The sequence below is a fragment of the Homo sapiens genome, chromosome 22 (assembly GCF_000001405.40).
Source record: "Homo sapiens chromosome 22, GRCh38.p14 Primary Assembly".
In the NCBI taxonomy this organism is placed as follows: Eukaryota; Metazoa; Chordata; class Mammalia; order Primates; family Hominidae; genus Homo; species Homo sapiens.
The window spans coordinates 43029913-43053698 of NC_000022.11; the positions used below are offsets into that span (position 1 = coordinate 43029913).

At 52.6% G+C, this 23786-nt stretch overlaps 1 protein-coding gene and 1 long non-coding RNA gene across 3 annotated transcripts in view, besides 1 other annotated feature; one reads left to right on the forward strand and one right to left on the reverse strand.

Annotated features, from left to right (window-relative positions):
• Window positions 4135-4636: an enhancer, noted in NCBI's record as "H3K4me1 hESC enhancer chr22:43430053-43430554 (GRCh37/hg19 assembly coordinates)". NCBI's record gives its function as "activates a minimal SCP1, AML or CMV promoter by ChIP-STARR-seq in primed H9 embryonic stem cells {active_cell/tissue: H9 hESC(primed)}" and the evidence as "EXISTENCE:reporter gene assay evidence [ECO:0000049][PMID:30033119]".
• TTLL1-AS1 (TTLL1 antisense RNA 1) lies at window positions 8673-22454 on the forward strand. The gene is made up of 3 exons (NR_125362.1): window positions 8673-10352; window positions 11299-11389; window positions 22143-22454. It is a non-coding gene; the product is annotated as a TTLL1 antisense RNA 1 (long non-coding RNA).
• The window catches only part of TTLL1 (TTL family tubulin polyglutamylase complex subunit L1), a 49876-nt gene continuing 35693 nt past the window's right edge, over window positions 9604-23786 (reverse strand). For both annotated transcript variants that reach the window (NR_027779.2, NM_012263.5), the window contains 3 exons: window positions 21889-21975; window positions 16498-16661; window positions 9604-9993 (listed from right to left, as the gene is read on the reverse strand). Coding sequence is in view for 1 of the 2 variants with exons in the window: in NM_012263.5 (NP_036395.1) it covers window positions 9864-9993; window positions 16498-16661; window positions 21889-21975 (381 nt within the window). In the remaining variant the exon portion in view is untranslated. The remainder of the gene's footprint in view (window positions 9994-16497; window positions 16662-21888; window positions 21976-23786) is intronic.

Consider the following 23786-nt stretch of genomic DNA (forward strand, 5'->3'; position numbering starts at 1 on the left):
AATGTTGGGATTATAGGCATGAGCCACCGCGCCCGGCCGAGATTAGCCTTTTTTTTTTTTTTTTTGAGATGGAGTCTTGCTCTGTCGCCCAGGCTGGAGTGCAGTGGCGCGATCTTGGCTTACTGCAAGCTCCGACTCCCGGGTTCACGCCATTCTCCTGCCTCAGCACCCCCAGCAGCTGGAACTACAGGCACACACCTCCACGCCCGGCTAATTTTTTCGTATTTTTAGTAGAGACGGGGTTTCATCATGTTAGCCAGGATGGTCTCTATCTCCTGACCTCGTGATCCGCCCACCTCGGCCTCCCAAAGTGCTAGGATTACAGGCGTCAGCCACCGTGCCCAGCAAGAGATTAGCCCATTTTTAACCCTTCCTATTGCCCTGACACCTCAACATGCCCACACACAGGCTGAGAGCACCCCACCCTGGCAGCCAGGCAGCCCCGTGGAATAAGCCTGGTCCCTGCTCCAGGTTCCCTTCCAGCCTTCCCCTGAGGGTCACCCAGTCACTTTGAAACACACCAGTGAGATCTGCTCACGTCTCTGGCTAGTGCCCCCCGCCCTGACCCCCCAGGAAAGGCACTTGCCTGTGGGTCCTCAGGCCCTCAAGCTCTCTTGGCCCCGAACCTGCTAGGTGGGCCTGCTCCCTGTGGGCTCCTCCCATCCAGCCCCCTACATGGGGGCTGGCCTTCCTCTCTGGGGCCCGTGAGTGTAATTGAGCCCTTCACCTACACCTGTCTGAGTGTGATTTCTGCGGCTGTGCTGGAAAGACCCCAAAAGGCCAAAGGGGCTTCCCTGTCTCCAGCACTCCCTCCCTCTGTGGAAACAGCGCCCCTCACCCATTCCTTCTGTGCTCTGCTCCTCACCTCGGCCCCCAGAAACACATGCACATCACGAATTGCCCCTCATCACCTAACAGTCCCTGAACTCCTTTGTGTTACACCTAAATCATCCCTCTTAAGACTAAATGTCTTTGATTTCCCAATCATCCCTCGCCCGCCTGCTGCTCTCCCTCCATTTTTGCTGCTCTGACATTGTCCATAAATGCTTCGACAAATGACCAGCGTTGCCTGGGAGTGGAGGACAGATCTCGGCCCTTGCCCTCCAGTTCCTCCTTATCTCAGCCTGGGGGTGGATAGCAAAGACCCAGGCAATAAGAGCGACACAGCAGGAGGACAAGGACCATCCCAAATGAGTAGACGGCCTGGTTCCCACAGTCGTTCGGCCATCACGTATCAGTGCTGCACGCATGTGTCAGGCTGGGGCCAGGCAGAGGCACGCGGAGCTGGAGGCTGTGCCGGGGAGAAAGCACAGAGGCACATGCCTGACCCGGATCATCTCAGGGATATGAGTGCTTTGGAGAAAACGGAAGAAGGTGGTAATAAAGTGGGGCTAGAGGGATCACCAGGAGAGCCTCTCTGGGACCGGGCATGGTGGCTCACGCCTGTAATCCCAGCACTTTGGGAGGCTGAGGGCAGGTGGAGCACCTGAGGTCAGGAGTTCGAGACCAGCCTGACCAACATGGTAAAACCCCGTTTCTACTAGAAATACTAAAATTAGTCAGGCATGGTGGTGAGTGCCTGTAATCCCAGCTACTCAGGAGGCTGAAACAGGAGAATTGCTTGAACCCGGCAGGCAGAGGTTGCAGTGAGCCAAGATCATGTCACTGCACTCCAGCCTGGGTGACAGAATGAGACTCAGTCTCAAAAAAAAAAAAAAGGAGAGCCTCTCTGGGAAGGTGGCAGACAGGATAGGCTGCTCCAAGTGATGAAAAGAGCCAGGCCTGCAGAGATGGGGGAGGAGAATTCTAGTAGAGGGGCCTGCCATGCAAAGGCCCTGAGGCAGGGAGGGGCATGACGCTTGAAGATTGCTGTGTCTCCAGCAAAACCAGCAAGGGCAGAAGGGAGGGGGTGGAGGGGGAGGCCAGAGAGGCGAGGAACTTGATTTTATTTATGTTCCAGGGGAGGCTTTTGGAGGGCATTAGGGCTCTGATAGAATCTGATTTATGCTTTAAAATGCAAGAGAGGCTGGGCGTGGTGACTCATGCCTGTAATCCCAGCACTTCAGGAGGCTGAGATGGGAGGATCCCTGGAGCCCAGGAGTTCCAGACCACCCTATGCAACATAACAAGACCCCCATCTCTAATATTTTTTAAAATAATAATAAAATGTAAGAGAAAGGAGAGACCATTGGAGACTAGAGTCACCAGGAAAGGCTTTATAGAAGAGGCAATGATGCCTTCTACCACAGAATTAGAGAGGAGTCATGATTTCCTATGAGCAGTACAAAAATCACCCCTTTAAAAATGCGGCTGGGCATAGTGGCCCCTGCCTGTAATCCTTTGGGGGGCCAAGGTGGGCGGATCATGTGAGCCCAGGAGTTTTTCTTTTTTTTTTTTTTTTTTGAGATGGAGTCTCGCTCTGTCACCCAGGCTGGAGTGCAGTGGCGTGATCTCAGCTCACTGCAAGCTCTGCCTCCCGGGTTCACACCATTCTCCTGCCTCAGCCTCCCAAGTAGCTGGGACTACAGGCGCCTGCCACCATACCCGGCTAATTTTTTGTATTTTTAGTAGAGACGGGGTTTCACCGTGTTAGCCAGGATGGTCTTGATTTCATGATCCATCTGCCTCGGCCTCCCAAAGTGCTGGGATTACAGGCGTGAGCCACCGCACCCAGCCGTGCCCAGGAGTTTGAAACCAGCCTGGGCAACATGGCAAAACCCCATCTCTACAAAAAATACAAAAAATTAGCTGGGCATGGTGGCACATGCCTGTAGTTCTAGCTGCTCAGGAGGCTGAAGTGGGAGGATCGCCTGAGCCTGGGAGGTTGAGGCTGTAGGGAGCTGTGATTGTGCCACTGCACTCCAGCCTAGGTGATGGAGTAAGACCCTGTCTCAAGAAAAAAATAAATAAATAAATCAAAACAGTTTCTCCCAGGAAGGCATACGAATGGCCAATAAGCACATGAAAAGATACTCAACATCATCAGCTGTCAGAAAAAATGCAAATCAAAACCATAATGAGATACTACTTCAGGGGAGCAGTGGTTCACGTTTGTAATCCCAGCACTTTGGGAGGCCAAGGCAGGCCAATTGCTTGAGGCCAAGAGTTCAAGACCAGCCTGGGTAACATGGTGAGACCCTGTCGCTACAAAAAAATAAAAAATTAGCAGCCAGGCACGGTGGCTCATGCCTGTAATCCCAGCACCCTGGGAGGCCGAGGCAGGTGGAGCACAAGGTCAGGAGTTTGAGACCAGCCTGGCCAACATAGTGAAACCCTGTCACTACTAAAAATACAAAAGTTAGCCGCACGTGGTGGCATGTGCCTGTAATCTCAACTACTTAGGAGGCTGAGGTGGGAGAATCGACTGAACCCAGAAGGCAGAAGTTGCAGTGAGCCGAGACCACACCACTGCACTCCAGCCTGGGTGACAGAATGAGACTCTGTTTCAAAAAACAAAATAAAATAAAATAAATAAAAATCAGCAGGGTGTGGTAGCATGCACCTGTAATCCCAGCTGCTTGGGAGGCTGAGGTGGGAGGATCACCCCAGGAGGTCAAGGCTGCAGTGAGCTGTGATCATACCACTGCGCTCCAGCCTGGATGACAGAGCCAGACCCTGTCTCAAAAAAAAAAGAGCTATCAGGCTGGACGTGGTGGCTCACGCCTGTAATCCCAGCACTTTGGGAGGCCAAGGTGGGTGGACCACCAGGTCAGGAGTTCAAGACCAGCCTGGCCAAGATGGTGAAACCCCATCTCTACTAAAAATACAAAAATTAGCTGGGCATGGTGGCGGGCGCCTGTAATCCCAGCTGAGACAGGAGAATCACTGGAACCTGGGAGGTGGAGGTTGCAGTGAACCAAGATTACGCCATTGCACTCCAGCCTGGGCAACAGAGCAAGACTCCGTCCCAAAAAAACAAAAAGTTCTGATTTCATTTTAACCAGTACAAGATGCAGGAAGGGAAGCTGCCTGGTGACGTTCTTGCTATTCAGCCATGGCCTCGAGGCAGCATTATTCATAACCATGAGTAGCGTGGCCTTTCTGAACAGCTTCTGAAAAGCACGTTTGTTACTGCAGCTTTGCAGTTTACCTCCTTCTACATTCAGGGCTCAAACCCCGTTTAACACACGCCCCCTACTGGGCCACTGAGAACTGCTCGTCTCTGCAGATCCCCTTCCACCCGGTGTGCAGGCTCCCTGTGCACAACTCCCCTCCTCCCGTCCCTAGGGCACCGCCTGAGTTCACATTGTGGCCTGCACTGCCAGATCTCCCTCTAGCCTCTCACCAGCTCCGTCATCCTTAGAGAGGCACATCTCTAAGAACACTGATGCCATCACTCAAAAACATTTGGCTGGAAGCCGGGCACGGTAGCTCATGCCTGTAATCCCAGCACTTTGGGAGATGGAGGCTGGCGGATCACTTGAGGTCTGGAGTTCAAGACCAGCCTGGCCAACATAGTGAAACCCCATCTCTACTAAAAATACAAAACTAGGCCAGGCACGGTGGCTGATGCCTGTAATCCCGGCACTTTGGGAGGCTGAGGCAGGCGGATCACAAGGTCAGGAGATCAAGACTATCCTGGCTAACACGTCAGGATGTAGACATGTTTAGTAGAGAAACCCCGTCTCTACTAAAAATACAAAAAATTAGCCGGGCGTGGTGGCGGGCGCCTGTAGTCCCAGCTACTCGGGAGGCTGAGGCAGGAGAATGGCATGAACCTGGGAGGCGGAGCTTGCAGTGAGCTGAGCTCACGCCACTGCACTCCAGCCTGGGTGTCAGAGTGAGACTCCGTCTCAAAACAAAACAAAACAAAACTAGCCGGGCATGGTGGCGCATGCCTGTAATCCCAGCTACTTCTTGGGAGGTTGAGGCATGAGAATGACTTGAACCCAGGAGGCAAAGGTTGCTGTGAGCCGAGATTGTGCCACTAGCCTGGGCAACAGAGTGAGACTCTGTCTAAAAAAAAAAAAAAAAAAAAAAAAAAAGGAAAGAAAGGGGGGAGGGGAGGGGGGAGGGGAGGGGTGGGAAGGGGAGGGGAGATTAGGTGAGTTAAACTGGAATTGTGGGGGAATGTTGGCCAAGTGGCAGGCAGGGTGGGCCTGGGCCTGAGGGAACGCCATGGGCCCCTAGACTTGTTCCTGCTGACAGAGCGCCAGCGGCCGGGCAGGAGCATAAGCAAGGTGGGTTTGCATCTGTCACTGGAGGAGCGCTCCGAATGCTTCTCAGGACAAAAGCAGGAGGCCGCCATTGTTCACAGGATGTGAGATCTAATATGGTTCAGGCTGGGGCAAATCAGTGAAGATCAAAATCCCTCGTCTTCCACAATGAGAGACTGGAATCAAAAGTGGATGTGCTCCCACCTGCTCACAAAGGGTCCTCACGTGCCCCAGGGCCCTCCACTGGGGCACAGTTCACATTAGGGGACACACAAACAGCCTGAGGGTGCCCAGTCGCTGAGCAGCCCCAGTCGCTGTGCCGTTACCAGCAGGCAGGGCCCTGCAGGAGACCTTGGCCTCCCCAGACCACAGGGGCTGCAGGGCTGCTGCGGGGAGAGGGCCAGGCGGCCGCAGCACAGCTGGGAATGGCTCCAGAGGGGAGGGTGGAGAGTGCGCTGGCCCCTGGGGGCACTCAGAGAGGAGCTGCGTGTGTTTGGCACTGGTGGACATGGTGTGTGGCAGTGTGAGCCAACAGGCCAATGGGTGGCAAGCATAGGAGGCTTTATGGAGCACCCTGAAGAACCACTGTGTGGAGGGGAAATGGCCCCCTGTGAGGAAAGTCCTAGCAGCTGGTGGAGCGCAACCAGATGCGGGTCCAGACTGATGGGGTCTCCATGGCAGCCCAGGTGGGAGGCGGAGGAGGAGAAGGGAGACAGTGAGAAGGTTGTCACCAGGCCCTCACTAATACCCGGGGAGCAGCCCGTGTGCAAAGGAGGTGAAGGATGGTGGTTTTCTTTTGTTTGAGATGGAGTCTTGCTCAGTTGTCCAGGCTGGAGTGCAATGGTGCGATCTCGGCTCACTGCAACCTCCGCCTCCTGGGTTCAAGTGATTCTTCCGCCTCAGCCTCCCAAGTAGGTGGGATTACAGGCATGAACCACCAAGCCCAGCTAATGTTTGTATTTTTAGTAGAGACGGGGTTTCACCTTGTTGGCCAGGCTGGTCTCAAACTCCTGACCTCAGGTGATCCACCCACCTCAGCCTCCCAAAGTGCTGGGACTACAGGCGTGAGCTACTGTGCCCAGTCGAGGATGGGTTTATATTGGGAAAACCAAGCCTATCAAACTTGGTGAAAACGACCACAGGATGCAACCCTCTGGCCTGGGACCCACCCCATCAAGTGTGTGGGGGCTGACAAGAAAACAGCAACGGCTCCCGGACAGCTCCCAGCAGGGCTCACTGCTTAGCCCCAGCCTAGCGCTGAATGGGGCTGTTCCTGGCCCGACAGCCTCCCGAGGCCTGCTGCCAACACCGCACCCTTCCCACCCGTGTCCTGGAAGTGCTCAGAGGAAACATCTGCCCAGAACATGACATCACTAAATCATTAATGAGACAGTCACTATATGACATAAATCCACTTAGCAGAGCCTCACTCTCACCTAGCAACTGGGTCACCAGCAAACTAACCACTTGGTGTGACTCTTCCATTAGGACTGCGTGGCCCCGGAGCCTCAGAGGCCAACGTTCCCAACCAGGGACTCCACCCTTCTCCCAGAGGGAGGCAAAAACAACACAATGTAACTGAGAACCGGGTTGTAAAAACCGGTGGAAGAGCTGGGAACAGTTAACGGGGTGTCTTTCACTTCTGCGTGTAGGAGCCGAGGTGGAGCCGCCAGCTGTGCAGAGGACACCCCCTCCTGGGAGGTAAGAGGGCTCGCCAGAGCCAGCAAGGCGTGCGGGCAGGGTCCCTGTGCGGTGGTACTGGTTGTTTCTGAGGCAAACAGAACTCCCCCCCTTTTTTTTTTTGAGACGGAGTTTCGCTCTTATTGCCCAGGCTTGAGTGTAATGGCGCCATCTCGGCTCTCCGCAACCTCCGCCTCCTGGGTTCAAGCGATTCTCCTGCCTCAGCCTCCAGGCTAATTTTTGTATTTTTAGTAGAGATGAGGTTTCACCATGTTGGCCAAGCTGGTCTCGAACTCCTGACCTCAGATGATCCACCCTCCTCGGCCTCCCAAAGTGCTGGGATTACAGGCATGAGCCACTGCGCCCGGCCACAGAACTCCCCATTTTATACAGTGGGAAACAAAGGTGCAACGACCCCAGGGACAGGCTTGGGAAACAGCTAATAAACAGCAGAGCCAGGCCACAAGGCCAAGTCTGACTCGGGGATCTCCATCCCACACCCGCCATCAACAGCAAACACATTAAAACTAAACCCCACGGCTGGGCGCAGTGGCTCACACCTGTATTCCCAGCACTCTGGAAGGCTGAGGCAGGCGGATCACCTAAGGCTGGGAGTTTGAGACCAGCCTAGCCAACATGGTGAAGCCCCATCTCTACTAAAAATACAAAAATTAGCCGGGCATGGTGGTGTACACCTGTAATCCCAGCTACTTGGGAAGCTGAGGCACGAGAATCACTTCAACCCGGGAGGCAGAGATTGCAGTGAGCTGAGGTTGCGCCACTGCACTCCAGCCTGCTGGGCGACAGAGCGAGACTCTGTCTCAAAAACAAAACAAAACAAAACAAAACTTAAACACCAGGGAACACACACAACACACATACCAATAAGATCACGAAGAAGGAATGGCTGAAAAGCCCACCAATTGTAGTTTATTTGGAGTCCAGCCAAGTACCATTTGTGTTGAAAAGACCTATTTTTCCCTAATTGGCAGTGAAACATCATTAAATATATGTACTCATATACACACACACAATATGGCATGTACACTTGACACACGTCCATGCATGGGCACTGAGAGAGCCTGGGCAAGTCAGTTAAGACCCTTATCTGAAGGACATACCCTTGGTGCCATTTGGGAGAACAAACTCCTGTTACTAGCATTGCAACAAAAACAGGTGGCAAGCTTTAAAGATAAACTCAAGACAGCGAGTGAAACTTCAGCAAATACGTGTTAATACGACCATGAGTAAAAGGCCCTTCCTGGCCGGGCGCAGTGGCTCACGCCTGTAATTTCAGCACTTTGGGAGGCGGAGGCGGGAGGATCACCTGAGGTCAGGAGTTCGAGACCAGCCTGGCCAACATGGTGAAACCCCGTCTCCACTAAAAATACAAAAATTAGTTGGGCGTGGTGGCAGGCGCCTGTAAGCCCACCTCTTTGGGAGGCTGAGCCATGAGAATCGCCTGAACCCAGGAGGTGGAGGTTGCAGTGAGCCTAGATTGTGCCATTGCACTCCAGCCTGGGTGTCAAGAGTGAAACTCCACCTCAAAAAAAAAAAAAAAAAAAAAGACCCTTCCTAAGAACAGCACTGTAACTCATGAGTTATTACTCAAATGCATCTGTCCATCTACCCACCAACTCAGGTCCTCTCCATACACTCCTGTAAGTCACCGGGCTACCGGGAGACTGCATGGGAACAACCACGCTCGCGCAGCCTGTCCCGCAGCCATCGCTCCTCCCACAGCTCCTGGCTGCCCACGGCGCTTCCCTGTAGCAAACCCAGCTGCTGACGTCATAAAAGGCACACAGCCGGACCTGTCTGTGCTCATCTAGTTCCATTTACAACAGACTCATCCACAAAACCGAAGTGGTAGAAACAGGTCTTTTTGAAGCCAGGCGTGGTGGCTCATGCCTGTAATCCCAACACTTTGGGAAGCTTAGGCAGGAGTATCGCTTGAGCCCAGGAGTTCGAGAACAGCCTGGCCAACATGGTGAAACTCTGTCTCTACAAAAAAAACTTTAAAAAGTAGCTGGGGGTGGTGGTGTGTGCCTGTGTGGTCCCAGTTACTCGGGAGGCTGAGGTGAGCGGATCACTTGAGCCCAGGAAGTTGAGCCACAATGGCACCACGGCACTCCAGCCTGGGTGACAGGGCGAGATCCTGTCTGAAAAGAAAAAAAAAAAGAAAAGAGAAGAAAAGAAAAGAAAACAGGTCTTCCTGGGAGCACCTAGACAAAGGCCTTTGTAAAGATAAATTACCGAGGAATATTTCTAGTTGCCTGTTTTCTTCAAAATCACAGTCAAGTAAGCTGGGCGTGGTGGCTCACCTCTGTAATCCCAGCATTTTGGGAGGCCGAGGTGGGCAGATCACCTGAGGTCAGGAGTTTGAGACCAGCCTGCCCAACATGGTCAAAACCCCATCTCTACTAAAAATACAAAAATTAGCCAGGTGTGGTGGCACACGCCTGTAATCCCAGCTACTTGGGAGCCTGAGGTGGGAGAAATACTACCCAGGAGGCAGAGGTTGCAGTGAGCCAAGATTGTGCCAGTGCACTCCAGCCTGGGCGACAGAGCAAAACTCTGTCTCGGGAAAAAAAAAAAAAATCGCAGTCAAGTAAAAAGAAACGCAACTAAAAGAGCCGTCAGTTAAATACATTCCTCTCTCGTGGCAGGACGAGTCTATAAGATTTGTTTTGTTTTTAATTTAGTGTAAAGTTTTTTTAATGTTTAAACCTTGTGACACATCAAATTACATGCTTGAAGCTGTTACTTTCTGTCAAAAAAGTGAGTTTTTAATATGAAAATTCTGCTTAGGTTAAAAATTAAAAAAAAAAGAGCGAGTTTTATACATCCGCATGAATTGTTTCCTTTAGCACTAGTCAAACAGACTCCATAACCTTCCAAAGAAGTGCCTTCGTTTATTTACAGGGCTTAGGAAAGGAAAAAAGCTCTACAAAAGGGAAATTTCAAAATAGGGCTTCAGCAGGGGCCCAGGTGGAGTGAGTAGTTTTGATAAGGTCCAGGTGGGACTCACTTCCAGGTGGTGAGGACCGCTCTCCCCGAGTCTCTCGATCGGCCTGCTCTGGGCCCCAGAGACTGACCCTGACGGCTTCTCAGCTCCCGGTCAGCCCCGTCACCCTGGGCCAATTCTTCATCATACCTGGAGACAGAAACAGCCAGGATCACGGCAGGCTCTCTTTCAAAGGCAACAGGCAGGGCCACCAGGCTGCTGTGTGGCAAATATGACATCACCCAGAGAAGCGGCCTGAGGGGGCCCCACCCTCGCGACTCCTGCTGGCTCCCGCCCACCTCCCACCTGGCTCCAGCCCACCTGCCTGCCAGGTGGCTCTCGCAGCCCAGCAAATGCTCCCCAAGGCCAGCCTGCCTATGTGTACAACCTTGTTGTTATTGTGGACAGTGGTCTCCCCTCGGAAGCTGACATTTTATACAGGTCACCAGGTCAAATATGGCAATGACTCCAAAGGCAACATGCATGAGGTGACACAGAACCAGCCCAGGGTAAGTGAGGTGAGACTGCCTGGCTGGAAACGCTTCACACAAGGCACCTGCAGGCTGGGGGGACTAACTCCATTCCAGATGGGAGTGGTACATGAGCACTGGTCAGTGGAGGCCAGGGCAGAGAGGCCCCACGGTGCACACTCAGCTAGAGACTCTGCCAGTGTGACCCACGCCACCCCTCCCCATTTTCTTTTTTTTTGAGATGGAGTTTCACTCTATCACCAAGGCTGGTATACAGTGGCGCAATCTTGGCTCACTACAACCTCCACCTCCCTGGTTCAAGCGATTCTCCTGCCTCAGCCTTTCAGGTAGCTGGGATCATAGGTGCCCACCACCACACCCAGCAAATTTTTGTATTTTTAGTAGAGACAGGGTTTCCCCATGTTGGCCAGGCTGGTCTCGAACTCCTGACCTCAGGTGATCTGCCCATTCGGCCTCCCAAAGTGCTGGGATGACAGGCGTGGGCCACCGTGCCTGGCCCCCATTTTCTTTAACTGCCTGTTTCCCAATTAACGTTCATGCATCCTAAGGCCGCGTGTGCTAAGGAGGCAGCAGTGTAGGAAACAGCCTGAATTTTCGTGTCTGGAAGAGCTGGATGCCAGCTGCAGCTCCCCAGACGGGGTGGTCACAGCATCTGGGCAAGTCCTGGGTCCTTCCCACAGTGGCGGGGCCCTTCTCTCACGGGGTCCTGGAGCATGGTCGTTGCTGCCTGCACCTATTGCAGGCTGTGGCAGGGAGCAGGCTGGGGGAATGGGGCCGCCCCCCTCCACGGTGACTGACATTATCCTCCCAACTCGGGCGGCAGCACCAGGACTTGCTTCCTATGGGGGGAAACTGGGGTTCTAGAGGTTTGCTCAGGGCCTAGGGTCCCACAGCTGGCCTGTGGCACAGGTAAGATTAACCTCTAGGACTTCTGATTTCTAATTCGGAGTTTTTTGTCCCATAGCGCTGAGGAGTGTGGAAAGCATCTTTCCCCAGTTAAAGCACATCCGTCGGTGTGCTGCGCTGGCCATCCTGACTAGGACCCTCGGTTGTATGTAGGTATTTGTGTCAAACACAAAAGGTACCCAGATGCTGAGTGCTAATCATGTGGACTTCTGGAAAAGGGTGGATTTCTGTGATAAGCTTATTACCAAAACCAGAGTTTGCAGGTTGAATGTAGTATGAGTTAGAAACTTCTGAGGTTAAAGAATGTATTTTCTGCATTGTGCTTCTGGTGGCAAACTGGGACTGAAAGAGTAGGTGGGAAGAAAGCATTTTCTGATTCCTTTTTTTTTTTTTAAACGGTCACCCAGACTGGAGTGTAGTGGCCCGATCTTGGCTCACTGCAACCTCTGCCTCCTGGGTTCAAGAGATTCTCATGCCTCAGCCTCCCAAGTAGCTGGCATTACAGGCGCATGCCACCACGCCCGGCTAACTTTTTGTATTTTTGGTAGAGATGGGGTTTCACCATGTTGCCCAGACTGGCCTCGAACCCCTGAGCTCAAGCAATCTTCCTGCCTCGGTCTCCCAAAGTGCTGGGATTACAGGTGTGAGCCACTGCGCCTGGCCGCATTTTCTGACTTCTGTCTGTGAAGCAGACACCACAGGGATCCAGGCTCTGCACCAGGGTGGAGCTGTCAGGATGATGATACAGGGGCCTGCTTCCTCTCTGGCTCTCGAAGGAGAGACACAGCCATAGTCCCTATGACACAAGGAAGCCGGACAGGACACCCCTGGAACTCTGGAATCTGCCTGGGTGGGGGGGGTCCTCCAGGAAGCCTCCCTGGCGCCTCTCCACAGGATCAGATACCCCTACCCCGTGGGGACTCCACATTCATAAATGTCGTCACTCCACTGCCCCCGTGTTTGCTTCCCTGGCCAGGGGGCTGCAGTGACCGCCCGTCTGGTTCGTGGCTGCCCCCAGCAGCTTGCTCAAGGTCTGGTGGATAGGAATCTACTGAATGAATGGAGAAAAGGACCACATATGGTGACCGGTTTCACGGAGCACTTGTGCTGATCTGTGTGGCTCAAAAAACAAAACAAACAGAAAGGAGCATTTGGCAAGCAGCTGGCACCGGGATGCGCTGTTCCCAGGGGTGGTCTGGCCACCTACCGAGCCAACGCAGAGGAGAATCAGAGCCAAGATGGCTCTTCGAAGTTCCTGTTCTAGCAGGCTTTTCTTCTGGCTTTTCACAGAAACAATCTAGTCACTGTTAGGGTTTTTTAAAGGCTGTAAAAGTACAGTCAGCAACTTCGGAACAGGGTCCTGGAGGTGGCAGATGCAAAGTGCCAGGCCTTGTAGGGCCACAGCCAATGGTATGGCCTGGGGCACGTGACCTCATGCGGCCAGTGTCCTCTGCTAGATGCTGCTGGGCTCTGAGGAGTTGCTGTGGGCACGCAGAGCACCTGGCATGGACGGGCGGCGCCGCTCAGATGACGTGGCCCTCCCAGTCAGCACCAACTGCTACTGCTGCTGGTGGCTGCACCTGAAAATGGAGCTGGGGTTCTTTGATCAGCTGAATGCCTAAGGGAAGCAAGCCCTGACTAGAAGCGTTTAGAGGCCATCAGCTCCACACAAGAGCCTTCCATTACTCCTCAGGAGCCAGGAGAGGACGGCTGGATCAGGGAGGGGGGTTCACCTTGTTGTCTCTTCAACTAAAAGCAGTGAGGCTCTGGCCTCTGCTGCTTTTTCTTTTTTTTTTTTTTTTTTTGAGGCAGACTTTCGCTGTGTCGCCCAGGCTGGAGTGCGGTGGCACGATCTCGGCTCACTGCAACCTCCGCCTCCTGGGTTCAAGCCATTCTCCTGCCCTCAGCCTCCCAAGTAGCTGGGATTACAGGTGCCCACCACCACGCCCGGCTAATTTTTGTATTTTTAGCAGAGACGGGATTTCACCATGTTGGCCAGGCTGGTCTTGAACTCATGACCTCAGGTGAGCCACCTGCCTTGGCCTCCCAAAGTGCTGGGATTACAGGTATGAGCCACCATACCCAGCCTGGCCTCTGCTTCTTGGCCGGGAAATGGCGAGTCTGGCCCACTCCCTCAAGAAGTCCACAGGCTGGACGCGGCAGAGGCTCTACACGCTCCCAACAAGCCAGCCTCTCCACCACCCTCAACTGGACTGAAGAGAACCCCCCAAGGTCCTCATGCTACTGACAAGTCTCCCCGCAATGGTCCCCACCCTGTACACACTCACAGACCCCCTCAGTCCTCCAGCACAGGGGCCATCAGGACCCAGCCCCGAAGGCCGCCATCGCAGTTGCCATCCCCAACCCTGATCTCACCCTTCACCTTCCAGGCTGCCAATCCCAGTCTGACCCCATCCCCAGACTCACCCTCTGTGGGCTCCGGAACTCTCTGCCCATCATCGCACCCACCATGCCCTCTGCTTATCCTTTAATCTCCACTTCCCCTTCCTGCTCTAATGGGCTCCTGCGAGACGCTGCTTCCCCTGCAGCCCCTGGTGTGGAGACTGCTTTCTCTCCCACCCCCCATACTCCTGGTTGGAGGGGGCCTCCTCTCTAAAGCCCCCAGCTCTTTCCAGGCCTGGTCACCACAGTTACCTTCCTCCTTGTGCAGTCACCTCCAGTCCTCCAGGTCACCACCCCAGATCCCTTGGAGAGCCAGGCTCCTAGTTCATGGTGGTGGGTGATGGCAATGACCAAACAGATGAAACCCCCAACTCCCTGACCTCTGGTGACCCTGTCCTCTACTCCATCTCAGTCCCATCCCCAGGGAGTCCCCAAGCCTCGTCACCCCTTGCATTATCTCCATGGCAAGTGCTCACTCCCTGACCACTGCCCCTTCTCCTCCCAGCCCACTTCCCTAGTGCCCGACTCCAACAACCCTCCTCCCCGAGAGACTGCCACCCACCCCCATCTTCTCCCTGTCCCCGCTGCCCTCTGTCTTGCCATCGCAAGCTCCCAATCCTGGTCCCTCCCAACCCTCTGCCTTCTCTGTACCTAGCCTGGGCAGCTGATCATGGAGGGAGAGAACAACCAACCACACACTGACTGGTCACCCCTGAAGTTCACAGCCACTACCCTGTAGAGGCCCCGAGGTTGCCGGCAAGCCCAGTATACTTCCATCTAAACTCCCCTTGCACCTGCTCCTCCTGTTCCAGACAATGAGCTGTAACACGCACATCCACACCACACATCACCCACAGCAGGGGCAGGAGGCAGCTAAGCATGGGCTTCAGAGTCCTCCCACCAGCAGCGCCTACCAGCTACAAGCCTGACGTCTCTGTGTGTGTGTGTAAATTTCACTAAATATTTCTTCCTTTGTTTTTTAAAAATTTACATGAAATGCACATTTTTGCTGTGACAGAAGCATGTAACTGTGATCCTAACACACCTACTCCTCCGCCTTTTACTGCCGTCTGCTTCCCTCTCTTCTCCACGCCCACTCGACTGCAGTATCGATGCCAACAACATGATGTGTGTCCTTCCATGTTTCCCTGCTCATGCATTCGCATGTAAGCCACCGCACATGTCACTGTATGTACACACAGGGGATTCTGAGGCCAATGTTTTACAAGGATTACGTTATACACCCTTTTCTGCAGTGAGTTTTTCCCAGGCAACCTCCCAGGCCCCATGGTGTAGCTCTGGGTCAATCCTTTTTTTTTTTTTTGGAGACAGAGTCTCACTCTGTCGCCCAGGCTGGAGTGCAGTGGTGCAATTTGGGCTCACTGCAACCTCCGCCTCCCGGGTTCAAGCGATTCTCCTGCCTCAGCCTCCTGAGTAGCTGACATTACAAGCGCGCACTACCACACCCGGCTAATTTTTGTATTTTTAGTAGAGATACAGTTTCACCATGTTGGTCAGGCTGGTCTTGAACTCCTGAGCTCGTGATCCACCTGCCTTGGCCTCCTGAAGTGCTGGGATTACAGGCGTGAGCCACCACGCCCAGCCAGGTCAATCTTTTTAAAGGCCACTTAATAGACCGCAGAATGAATGAACCATACTGTGTTCAGCCACCACACTCCTGATGGGCTCTCACTTTGTTCCCACTTTCGTCACTACGAGTATGCCACGGAACCGCTCTAAGCCTTTGTTTCCACACCTGTGAAATGGAGCTAATAGTCTTACCTACTTCAAAATATTACTGGGGAAAGGAATTGATACTGTGTGTAAAGCACTCTGCACAGTTTCTGACACATGACAAGCCCTCGAAAGTTAGCTATTTCCTTCCCGCTCTGTAAAATAGATCTTATTATACCCATTTTTTTTTTTTTTTTTTTTTGTAGAGATGGGGTTTCGCTATGTTTGCCAGCCTGGTCTCGAACTCCTGACCTCAGGTGATCTGCCCGCCTCGGCCTCCCAAAATGCTGGGATTACAGGTGTGAGCCACTGCACCTGGTCTATTATACCAATTTAAAGGTGGACAAACTGAGGCTCAAACAGTTGCACTGAGTTCCTCCCTGTCACCCAGCTCTATGCGGCAAAGCCAGGGAATGAGCCCAGGTGACCCGTGAGAAACACGCACTCCACCCAGCCTACTCCAGCTATCCTAGCGGCCAAGCACTCCACCCAGCCTACTCCAGCTATCCCAGCGGCCAAGCACTCCACCCAGCCTGCTCCAGCTATCCCGGCGGCCAGCGGGGGCCTGGCACGTGATCAGTGCACCACACATATGTTTTGAGTAGGAGCATACACAATGATCAAGTTCAGCACCCAAACTGCTTTTCTGGGCTGGGTGCAGTGGCTCACACTTGTAATCTCAGCACTTTGGGAGGCCGAGGTGGGAGAATCACTTGAGGTCAGGAGTTCAAGACCAGCCTGGCCAACGTGGTGAAACCCTGTCTATACTAAAAATACAAAAATTAGCCAGGAGTGGTAACACATGCCTACAGTCCCAGCTACTTGGGAGGCTGAGGCAGGAGAACTGCTTGAACCCAGGAGGCGGAGGTTGCAGTGAGCCAAGATCGTGCCACTGCAACCCAGCCTTGGCGACAGAGTGAGACTCCCTCTCAAAATAATAATAATAAAATAAACAAATTGCTTTTCTGCTACAACAAGATCTATCCCATCATGTCATTAGTAAATGAAACAGTCTGCCCAAATAAGGAGAATCCACATATGCCCAGAAATCCAAGCTGGGCTATGGCACACGCCATTCGGAAACACAGAAGGACAAGCGCACAGTCACACACACACTTACAGAATCTCGTAATTGCCGAGGACTTCCTTAGGTGGCGACTTGTTCCATTTGCAGTCTGGGATTTCACCATTCGGGACGGCGATGTTGAGGGTGTCATTAATCAGGTTGTACTTGAGGATTCGGTCATTGGCAGTGCTGGACGTGAGAGACGGGGACGCATTCACCTGTGAGATGAAAGACCCATGTTCCTCACCTGTGTCTCTCGCTCTTTTGGAATGAAAATGTGCACTGCAGAAGGAGATGCTGGCTGCTACACACTTTAGTGAAGTTTTTTTTTGAGACAGAGTTTCGCTCTTGTTGCCCAGGCTGGAGTGCAGTGGCGCAATCTCGGTTCACTGCAACCTCCGCCTCCCGGGCTCAAGCGATTCTCCTGCCTCAGCCTCCTGAGTAGCTGGGACTACAGGCACACACCAACACGCCCAGCTATTTTTTTGTATTTTTATTAGAGATGGGGTTTCACCATATTGACCAGGCTGGTCTCGAACTCCTGACCTCAGGTGATCCTCCCACCTCGGCCTCCCAAAGTGCTGGTATTACAGGCGTGAGCCACCACACCTGGAAAATGGTTATTTAATATTGCTACTATCTAATACCGTCAGAGCACCTTGGATAGGAAACTCTTTGTGATCCACTTTTATTAGCTGTTCAATGAAATATAAGTAATACTTAAAGGTAGGATTAGAATTAGGATCTACAAATCAGCGATCGCACAAACATTTTGGGCCAGTGTATATCACAAACGTTATCAGTGCCTACCTGTGTGACTGGTTCTGTCCTAAGTACCAAGAGCCCCACAAGGGTTTGTTAGAATCAGTGACCCAAATGGCCCTGCCCAAGCAGCAGTGTGGGTTTCAGCAAAAGGCAATGGGCTCCCTTTTTGCTAAGAGAGTAATATCTCATTAGTAAAGCAGCATTCTCACTCAAATGATGAATCCTTCCAACACATGGAAAGGTGGTCCCATAAGGCCTCTGAGAAGCTAAGCAACGTCACAAGATCCACACATTAAAATGAAGACATTCGCTTTGTTCTGTGGAGAGTCCCACAGGCCCTCAGTCACTACTTTTTTTGGTTTTTTTGAGACAGAGTCTTGCTGTGTCACCCAGGCTGGAATGCAGTGGTGTGATCTCAGCTCACTGCAGCCTCTGCCTCCCGGGTTCAAGCAATTCTCCTGCCTCAGCCTCCTGGGTAGCTGGGATTACAGGCATGCACCACCACGCCTGGCTAATACTTGTATTTTCAGTAGAGACAGGGTTTCACCATGTTGGTCAGGCTGGTCTTGAACCCCTGACCTCAGGGGTTCTGCCCGCCTCGGCCTCCCAAAGTGCTGGGGTTACAGGCGTGAGCCACCGTGCCCGGCCAGTCACTACTTATTTACTCATATTTTAGGCACTGTTCTAATGACCTTGGTTAGCTGTTTCAGGCCATGGGGGATTAGAGGGAGCAAATTTGTAAGCTGTTTACATTTCTCCCAGTCAGACTGCCTGTCTGTGCTGCTAGCAGTGTATCGAATATGTACTGTGCCAAAGAATTGCACACATCTCATTGTCCTCAAAATGACCACTGTAGTATACCATAATACTATAATTCTTATTATGAATACATGAAGATTAAGAATTGTTATTAGGGGCCGGGCGCGGTGGCTCATGCCCGTAATCCTAGTACTTTGGGACGCTGAGGCGGGTGGATCACAAGGTCAAGAGTTCGAGACCAGCTTGGCCAACATGGTGAAACCCTGTCTCTACTAAAAATAAAAAAAATTAGCCAAGTGTGGTGGCAGGCGCCTGTAATCCCAGCCACTTGGGAGACTGAGACAGGAGAATCGCTTGAACCCGGGAGGTGGAGGTTGCAGTGAGCTGAGATCACGCCACTGCGCTCCAGCCTGGGTCACAGAGTGAGACTCCGTCTCAAAAAAAAAGAAAGAAAAAAAAAAAGAATTGTTTTAGGCTGTGTGCAGTGGCTCACACCTATAACTCCAGCACTTTGGGAGGCCGAGGTGGAGGGATCGCTTGAAGCTAGGAGTTCAAGACTAGCCTAGGCAACACAGCGAGACCCCATCTCTACCAAAAAAAAAAAAAAAAATTATCTGGGAAGAGTGGCACACACCTCTACTCCCAGCTACACAGGAGGCTGAGGTGAGAAGGATCACTTGAGCCCAGGAGTTCAAGTTGCGGCGAGCAATGATGGTGACATTGCACTCCAGCCTGGAACACAGAGCGAGACTTGGTCTCTTAAAAAAAAAAACCCAGGCCAGACATGGTGGCTCAAACCTGTAATCCCAGCACTTTGGGAGGCTGCAGTGGGCGGATCACTTGAGGTCCGGGTTCAAGACCAGCCTGACCAACATGGTAAAACCCCATCTCTACTAAAAATACAAAAATTAGCCAGGCGTGGTGGCAGTTACCTGTAATCCCAGCTACTCAGGAGGCCGAGGCACAAGAATCACTTGAACCCAGGAGGCAGAGGTTGGAGTGAGCCGAGGTCGTGCCACTGCACTCCAGCCTGGGTGACAGAGCAGGACTCTGTCTCAAAAAAATAAAAATAAAAAATACCCAAAACACTAGGCTCTGCAAAAGAGGGGAGTGAAGAAGAAGGCGAGAGTTTAAAAACTCCGTATTGAATACTATGTTCACTATTTGGGTGACGGGCTCAAGAGAAGCCCAAAGCCCAGCATTCTGCAATATATCCATGTAACAAACCGGCATATGTGCCCCCTGAAACAAGAAAAAAAAAAAAAAAGGCTGGGAGCAGTTGCTCACACTTGTAATTCCAGCACTTTGGGAAGCCAAGGCAGGAGGATCACTTGAGCCCAGGAGTTCAAAACCAGCTTGGGATGCTGGGCATGGTGGCTCATGCCTGTAATCCCAGCACTTTGGGAGGCCAAGATGGGCAGATCACTTGAGGTCAGGAGTTCGAGACCAGCCTGACCAACATGGAGAAACCCCATCTCTACTAAAAATACAAAATTAGCCAGGAGTGGTGGCTCATATCTGTAATCCCAGCTACTCGGGAGACTGAGGCAGGAGAATCACTTGAACCTGGGAGGCAGAGGTTGTGGTGAGCCAAGATGGCGCCATTGCACTCCAGCCTGGGCAACAAGAGTGAAACTCAGTCTCAAAAAAACAAAACCAAACAAACAAAAAACACACACAAAAAAACCCAGCTTGCACAACATAGTGAGACCCCATCTCCACAAAAAAAAAAAAAAAAAATTAGCCAAGCATGGTGGCACATGCCTGTAATCCCAGCTACTCAGGAGGCTGAGGCAGGAAGATCACTTAAGCTCAGAAGGTGTAGGCTGCAGCGAGCTATGATTACACCACTGCCTCCAGCCTAGGCCACAGAGTGGGACCCTGTCTCAAGACAGAAAAAAAAAAAGAAAAGAAAAAAAAAAAAGAATTGTTGGCTGGGCACGGTGGCTCACGCCTGTCATCCTAGCACTTTGGGAGGCCGAGGCAGGCAAATTGCCTGAGCGCTCAGGAGTTGGAGACCAGCCTGGGCAACATGGTGAAACCCCGTCTCTGCTAAAATACAAAAAATTAGCCAGGGTTGGCGGCATGCACCCGTAGTCCCAGCTACTCCAGGAGGCTGAGGCAGGAGAATTGCTTGAACCCGGGAGGCGGGGGTTGCAGTGAGCCGAGATTGCGCCATTGCTCTCCAGCCTAGGCGACAGAGTGAGACTCCGTCTCAAAAACAAAAAAACAGAATTGTTATTATATAAAAAGTAGGGCTGGGTGCAGTGGCTCACACCTGTAATCCCAGCACTTTGGGAGGCCGAGGTGGGCAGATCACGAGGTCAGGAGTTTGAGACCAGCCTGACCAAAATGGTGAAACACCATCTCTACTAAAAATACAAAAATTAGCTGGGCGTGGTGGTGCACGCCTGTAATCCCAGCTACTCAGGAGGCTGAGGCAGGAGAATCGCTTAAACCCGGGAGGCGGAGGTTGCAGTGAGCCGAGATCGTGCCATTGTACTCCAGCCTCAGTGACAGAGCAAGACTCTGTCTCAAAAACAAAAAAAAAAAGAAAAGAAAAGTAATGTTCACAATTAAGATCCTAGGTCATCCAGGAGAGACTTCCATTCAAGTCACTCTGGTTTTTTTTTGTTTTTTTTTTTGTTTGTTTGTTTTTGAGACAAAGTCTCTCCTCTGTCACCCAAGGTTGGAGTGCAGTGGCGCGATCTCAGCTCACTGCAACCTCAGCCTCCCCAGTTCAAGCGATTCTTCTGCCTCGGCCTCCCCGGTAGCTGGGATTACAGGTGCACACCACCACACCTGGGCAATTTTTTAATTTTTAGTAGAGGTGGGGTTTTGCCATGTTGGCCAGGCTGGTCTTGAATTCCTGACCTCAGGTGATCCACCCGCCTTGGCTTTCCAAAGTGCTGGGATTACAGGAGTGAGCCACCATGCCCAGCCTCAAGTTATTCTGTTTAACATGGAGGACAAGAAAGTACAAACACTGGCTATCTATTCCCCGCTCACACACCCAGCTTTGGCGGCATAAGGAGTTGCCTGGAAAATGCCACGATGGAACCAGCTCACTTGGCTCTTCAGCAGCTTCCTGCAGGGGTTCCCATGACTCTACCCATAGGGAACCAGTCCCTACAACCTGCTATTGTGGACTTGGGTGTCCTGGCTCAAAATGTGACCGAGATGAAGGGCCCAAGCCATCCACTGGCAAATGAACTTGGTTGGGAGGGCGTGCAGGGAGATGAACCAATAGAGCCGGAGTTCTTTTGTCCCCTTGGAGGCCTGAAGCTCCTCCTCCTGGCTCCAGAGCAACGGTTGGGCAAGGTGGGTTTGAAGCTGGGGCCTCTGAGAAGCGCGCCAGCGCCCACTGTGGCTGAGGTCGCACCAGCCAGGCTTGGTGTCAGGAGGCAGTGCTAAACAGATAGCCAACACGACATCCTCTCCACCCACTGAAAGAGGCAGAGGAATCCACTTCCAAACTCTACCTTCATATATGCCAAAGAAGAGCAGGGGCGTTCCTTCCCTCAGGAGAGTGTGCTCCTGCTGGCCAAGGGTACCGAGGTTGTGAGCTGCTTTCCTAGATGGGAACACTGTCACCCATGAGGACAGGGGAGGGCCTGGGGGACAGGGTGCAGGACTGAGGGAGGATGAACTAGCCCAGATGCACCCTGGAGGAGTCATAGCCACCAAGTTCACGTGAGATGGGCTACAGCTCCCTGTCGTGGGCTGGGCTCTGGGAGGGGAGCAAGGCAGGAATGTGCTTATACCTTAACCATCAGCAAACAATCAAACTCGAACATCAGTCCCCTTCCTGCCTGGCCTGAGAAACATCTGGGGCCTGGGGGACTGCTGGGCCCGAATCGGGGCAGAAGTGTGTTGGGGGCTATGTGTGGTGTGACCAGGTGCAGGTGCTCCCGCAGTTACCTCGATCAGCCAGGGCTTCAGCTTGTCGTCGATGATGATGTCGTAGCCATAGCATTCAAAGCAGTGCTTGTCATTGTTCATCACCGGCTGGAGAGAGAGTGACCAGTGGGTGACATGGCCAGCATCGAAGGGCGCAGCCGAGACCAACGCCACAGAGACAAGCAGGATCGTCCCACGTCCCGACCTCCCACAGCACAGGTTCCCACCCTCCACCACAAACGCTTCCTTCCCTCCTCTCCCTCTTCCTCCCGCAGAGCTCAGAGATTGGGCACTTTCCTCAGCCTGATAGAGGGAATTGATGAAGCCGTAATGGGCATCTCTGCGTCTCACTCATCAGAGGCTTGACTAGCACCCAACCCCTCTGTTGGCGTGAGACTGTCATCAGAGTGAACGGATGTCCAGCTCCAAGCCCAGAACCTGCAGTGAAGGTCTGTGCAGCCTTATCACAGACAAACACAAACTGTCCACCAGGCTGCCCGTTACCCCTTCCCAGGCCCTTAGGGATCCGGGTGCCAGACTATTAACCTCTGTTCCCAGTGACAAAAGTAAATCCATTTACATACAAATTTTTGAATTTCCTTTGTAATTTTCAATTCCATTTCACTTAGATACACCTTAGATTAACTGTTCTCCAGATACATAAATAACACCACCTGAGGCTGGGTGCAGTGGCTCATGCCTGTAATCCCAGCACTTTGGGAGGCCAAGGTGGGAGGATCACTTGAGCCCAGGAGTTTGAGACCAGCCTGAGCAACACAGCGAGACCCCCGCCTCTACAAAAAATAAAAAATTTAGCTGGGTGTGGTGGTATGTGCCATTAGTCCCAGCTACTCGGGACAGCTGGAGGCTGGGAGGAAGAGGAGTGCCGTGAGGAGTGCTGGAGTGCAGTGAGCCATGATCGTGCCACTGCACTCCAGCCTGGGTGACAGAGCAAGAACCTGTCACTTAAAAGCAAACAAACAAAAAAAAGAAAACTGGCTGGGCGCAGTGGCTGATGTCTGTAATCCCAGCACTTTGGGAGGCGGAGGCAGGTGGATCACCTGACGTCGGGAGTTCGAGACCAGCCTGGCCAACATGGTGAAACCCCGTCTCTACTAAAAATACAAAAAATTAGCGAGCCGTGGTGGCGCGTGCCTGTAATCCCAGCTACTTGGGAGGCTGAGACAGGAGAATCCCTTGAACCTGGGAGGCGGAGGTTGCAGTAAGCCGAGACTGCGCCACTGCACTCCAGCCTGGGCAACAAGAGCGAAACTCTGTCTCAAAAAACAAACAAACAAACAAAAAACACAAAACCCCCCAAACCCAGCTGCTTATGATGCAGATTCCTGGGCCCTCCCCAGCCTGCCTGGATTCAACCTCTGGAGACGCACCACAGTTTTACAGGCTCCTCAGAGACTTGTGCACCCTATAGTCAGTGAAGCATAGAGACGGGGTAGGGAGGTCTTGTCACACGATAGAGGGCATCGGACTCCGCTTCAACGAAACACTTGAAGCTAGAAACTCTGGGAAGGAGACAGCCTGGACCACCCTCCTCACTCACTGAGAGAAAGGGAGGCTCTTGGCTGCCTCCTCATGTAATTTAGCGGAATTACATTTAAACTAAAAGCCTGGTATCCTCATCCAGGCCAGTGCCCAGATTACTGTCCCAGAAAATGTCTGTAAGACAGGAAGTCATTAGCCTGACTGTCATTCTCCAAACCCTGCTCTGCCTCCAGCCCTGAGCAGGCTGCCTGCATTGCGTAGCTCTCAGTGTCTCTGTCCAGTCTCATGCTGCAGGTTTGGGTTCCTCGGGGGGTCTCAGAGCCACCTCCCGTCCTGCACCAGGCCCCTCCCATGTGCCTGTTTCCTTGTCTGCCTCACTCTGAGGACAACATGCCTGGTAAAAACCAGGTGATGAA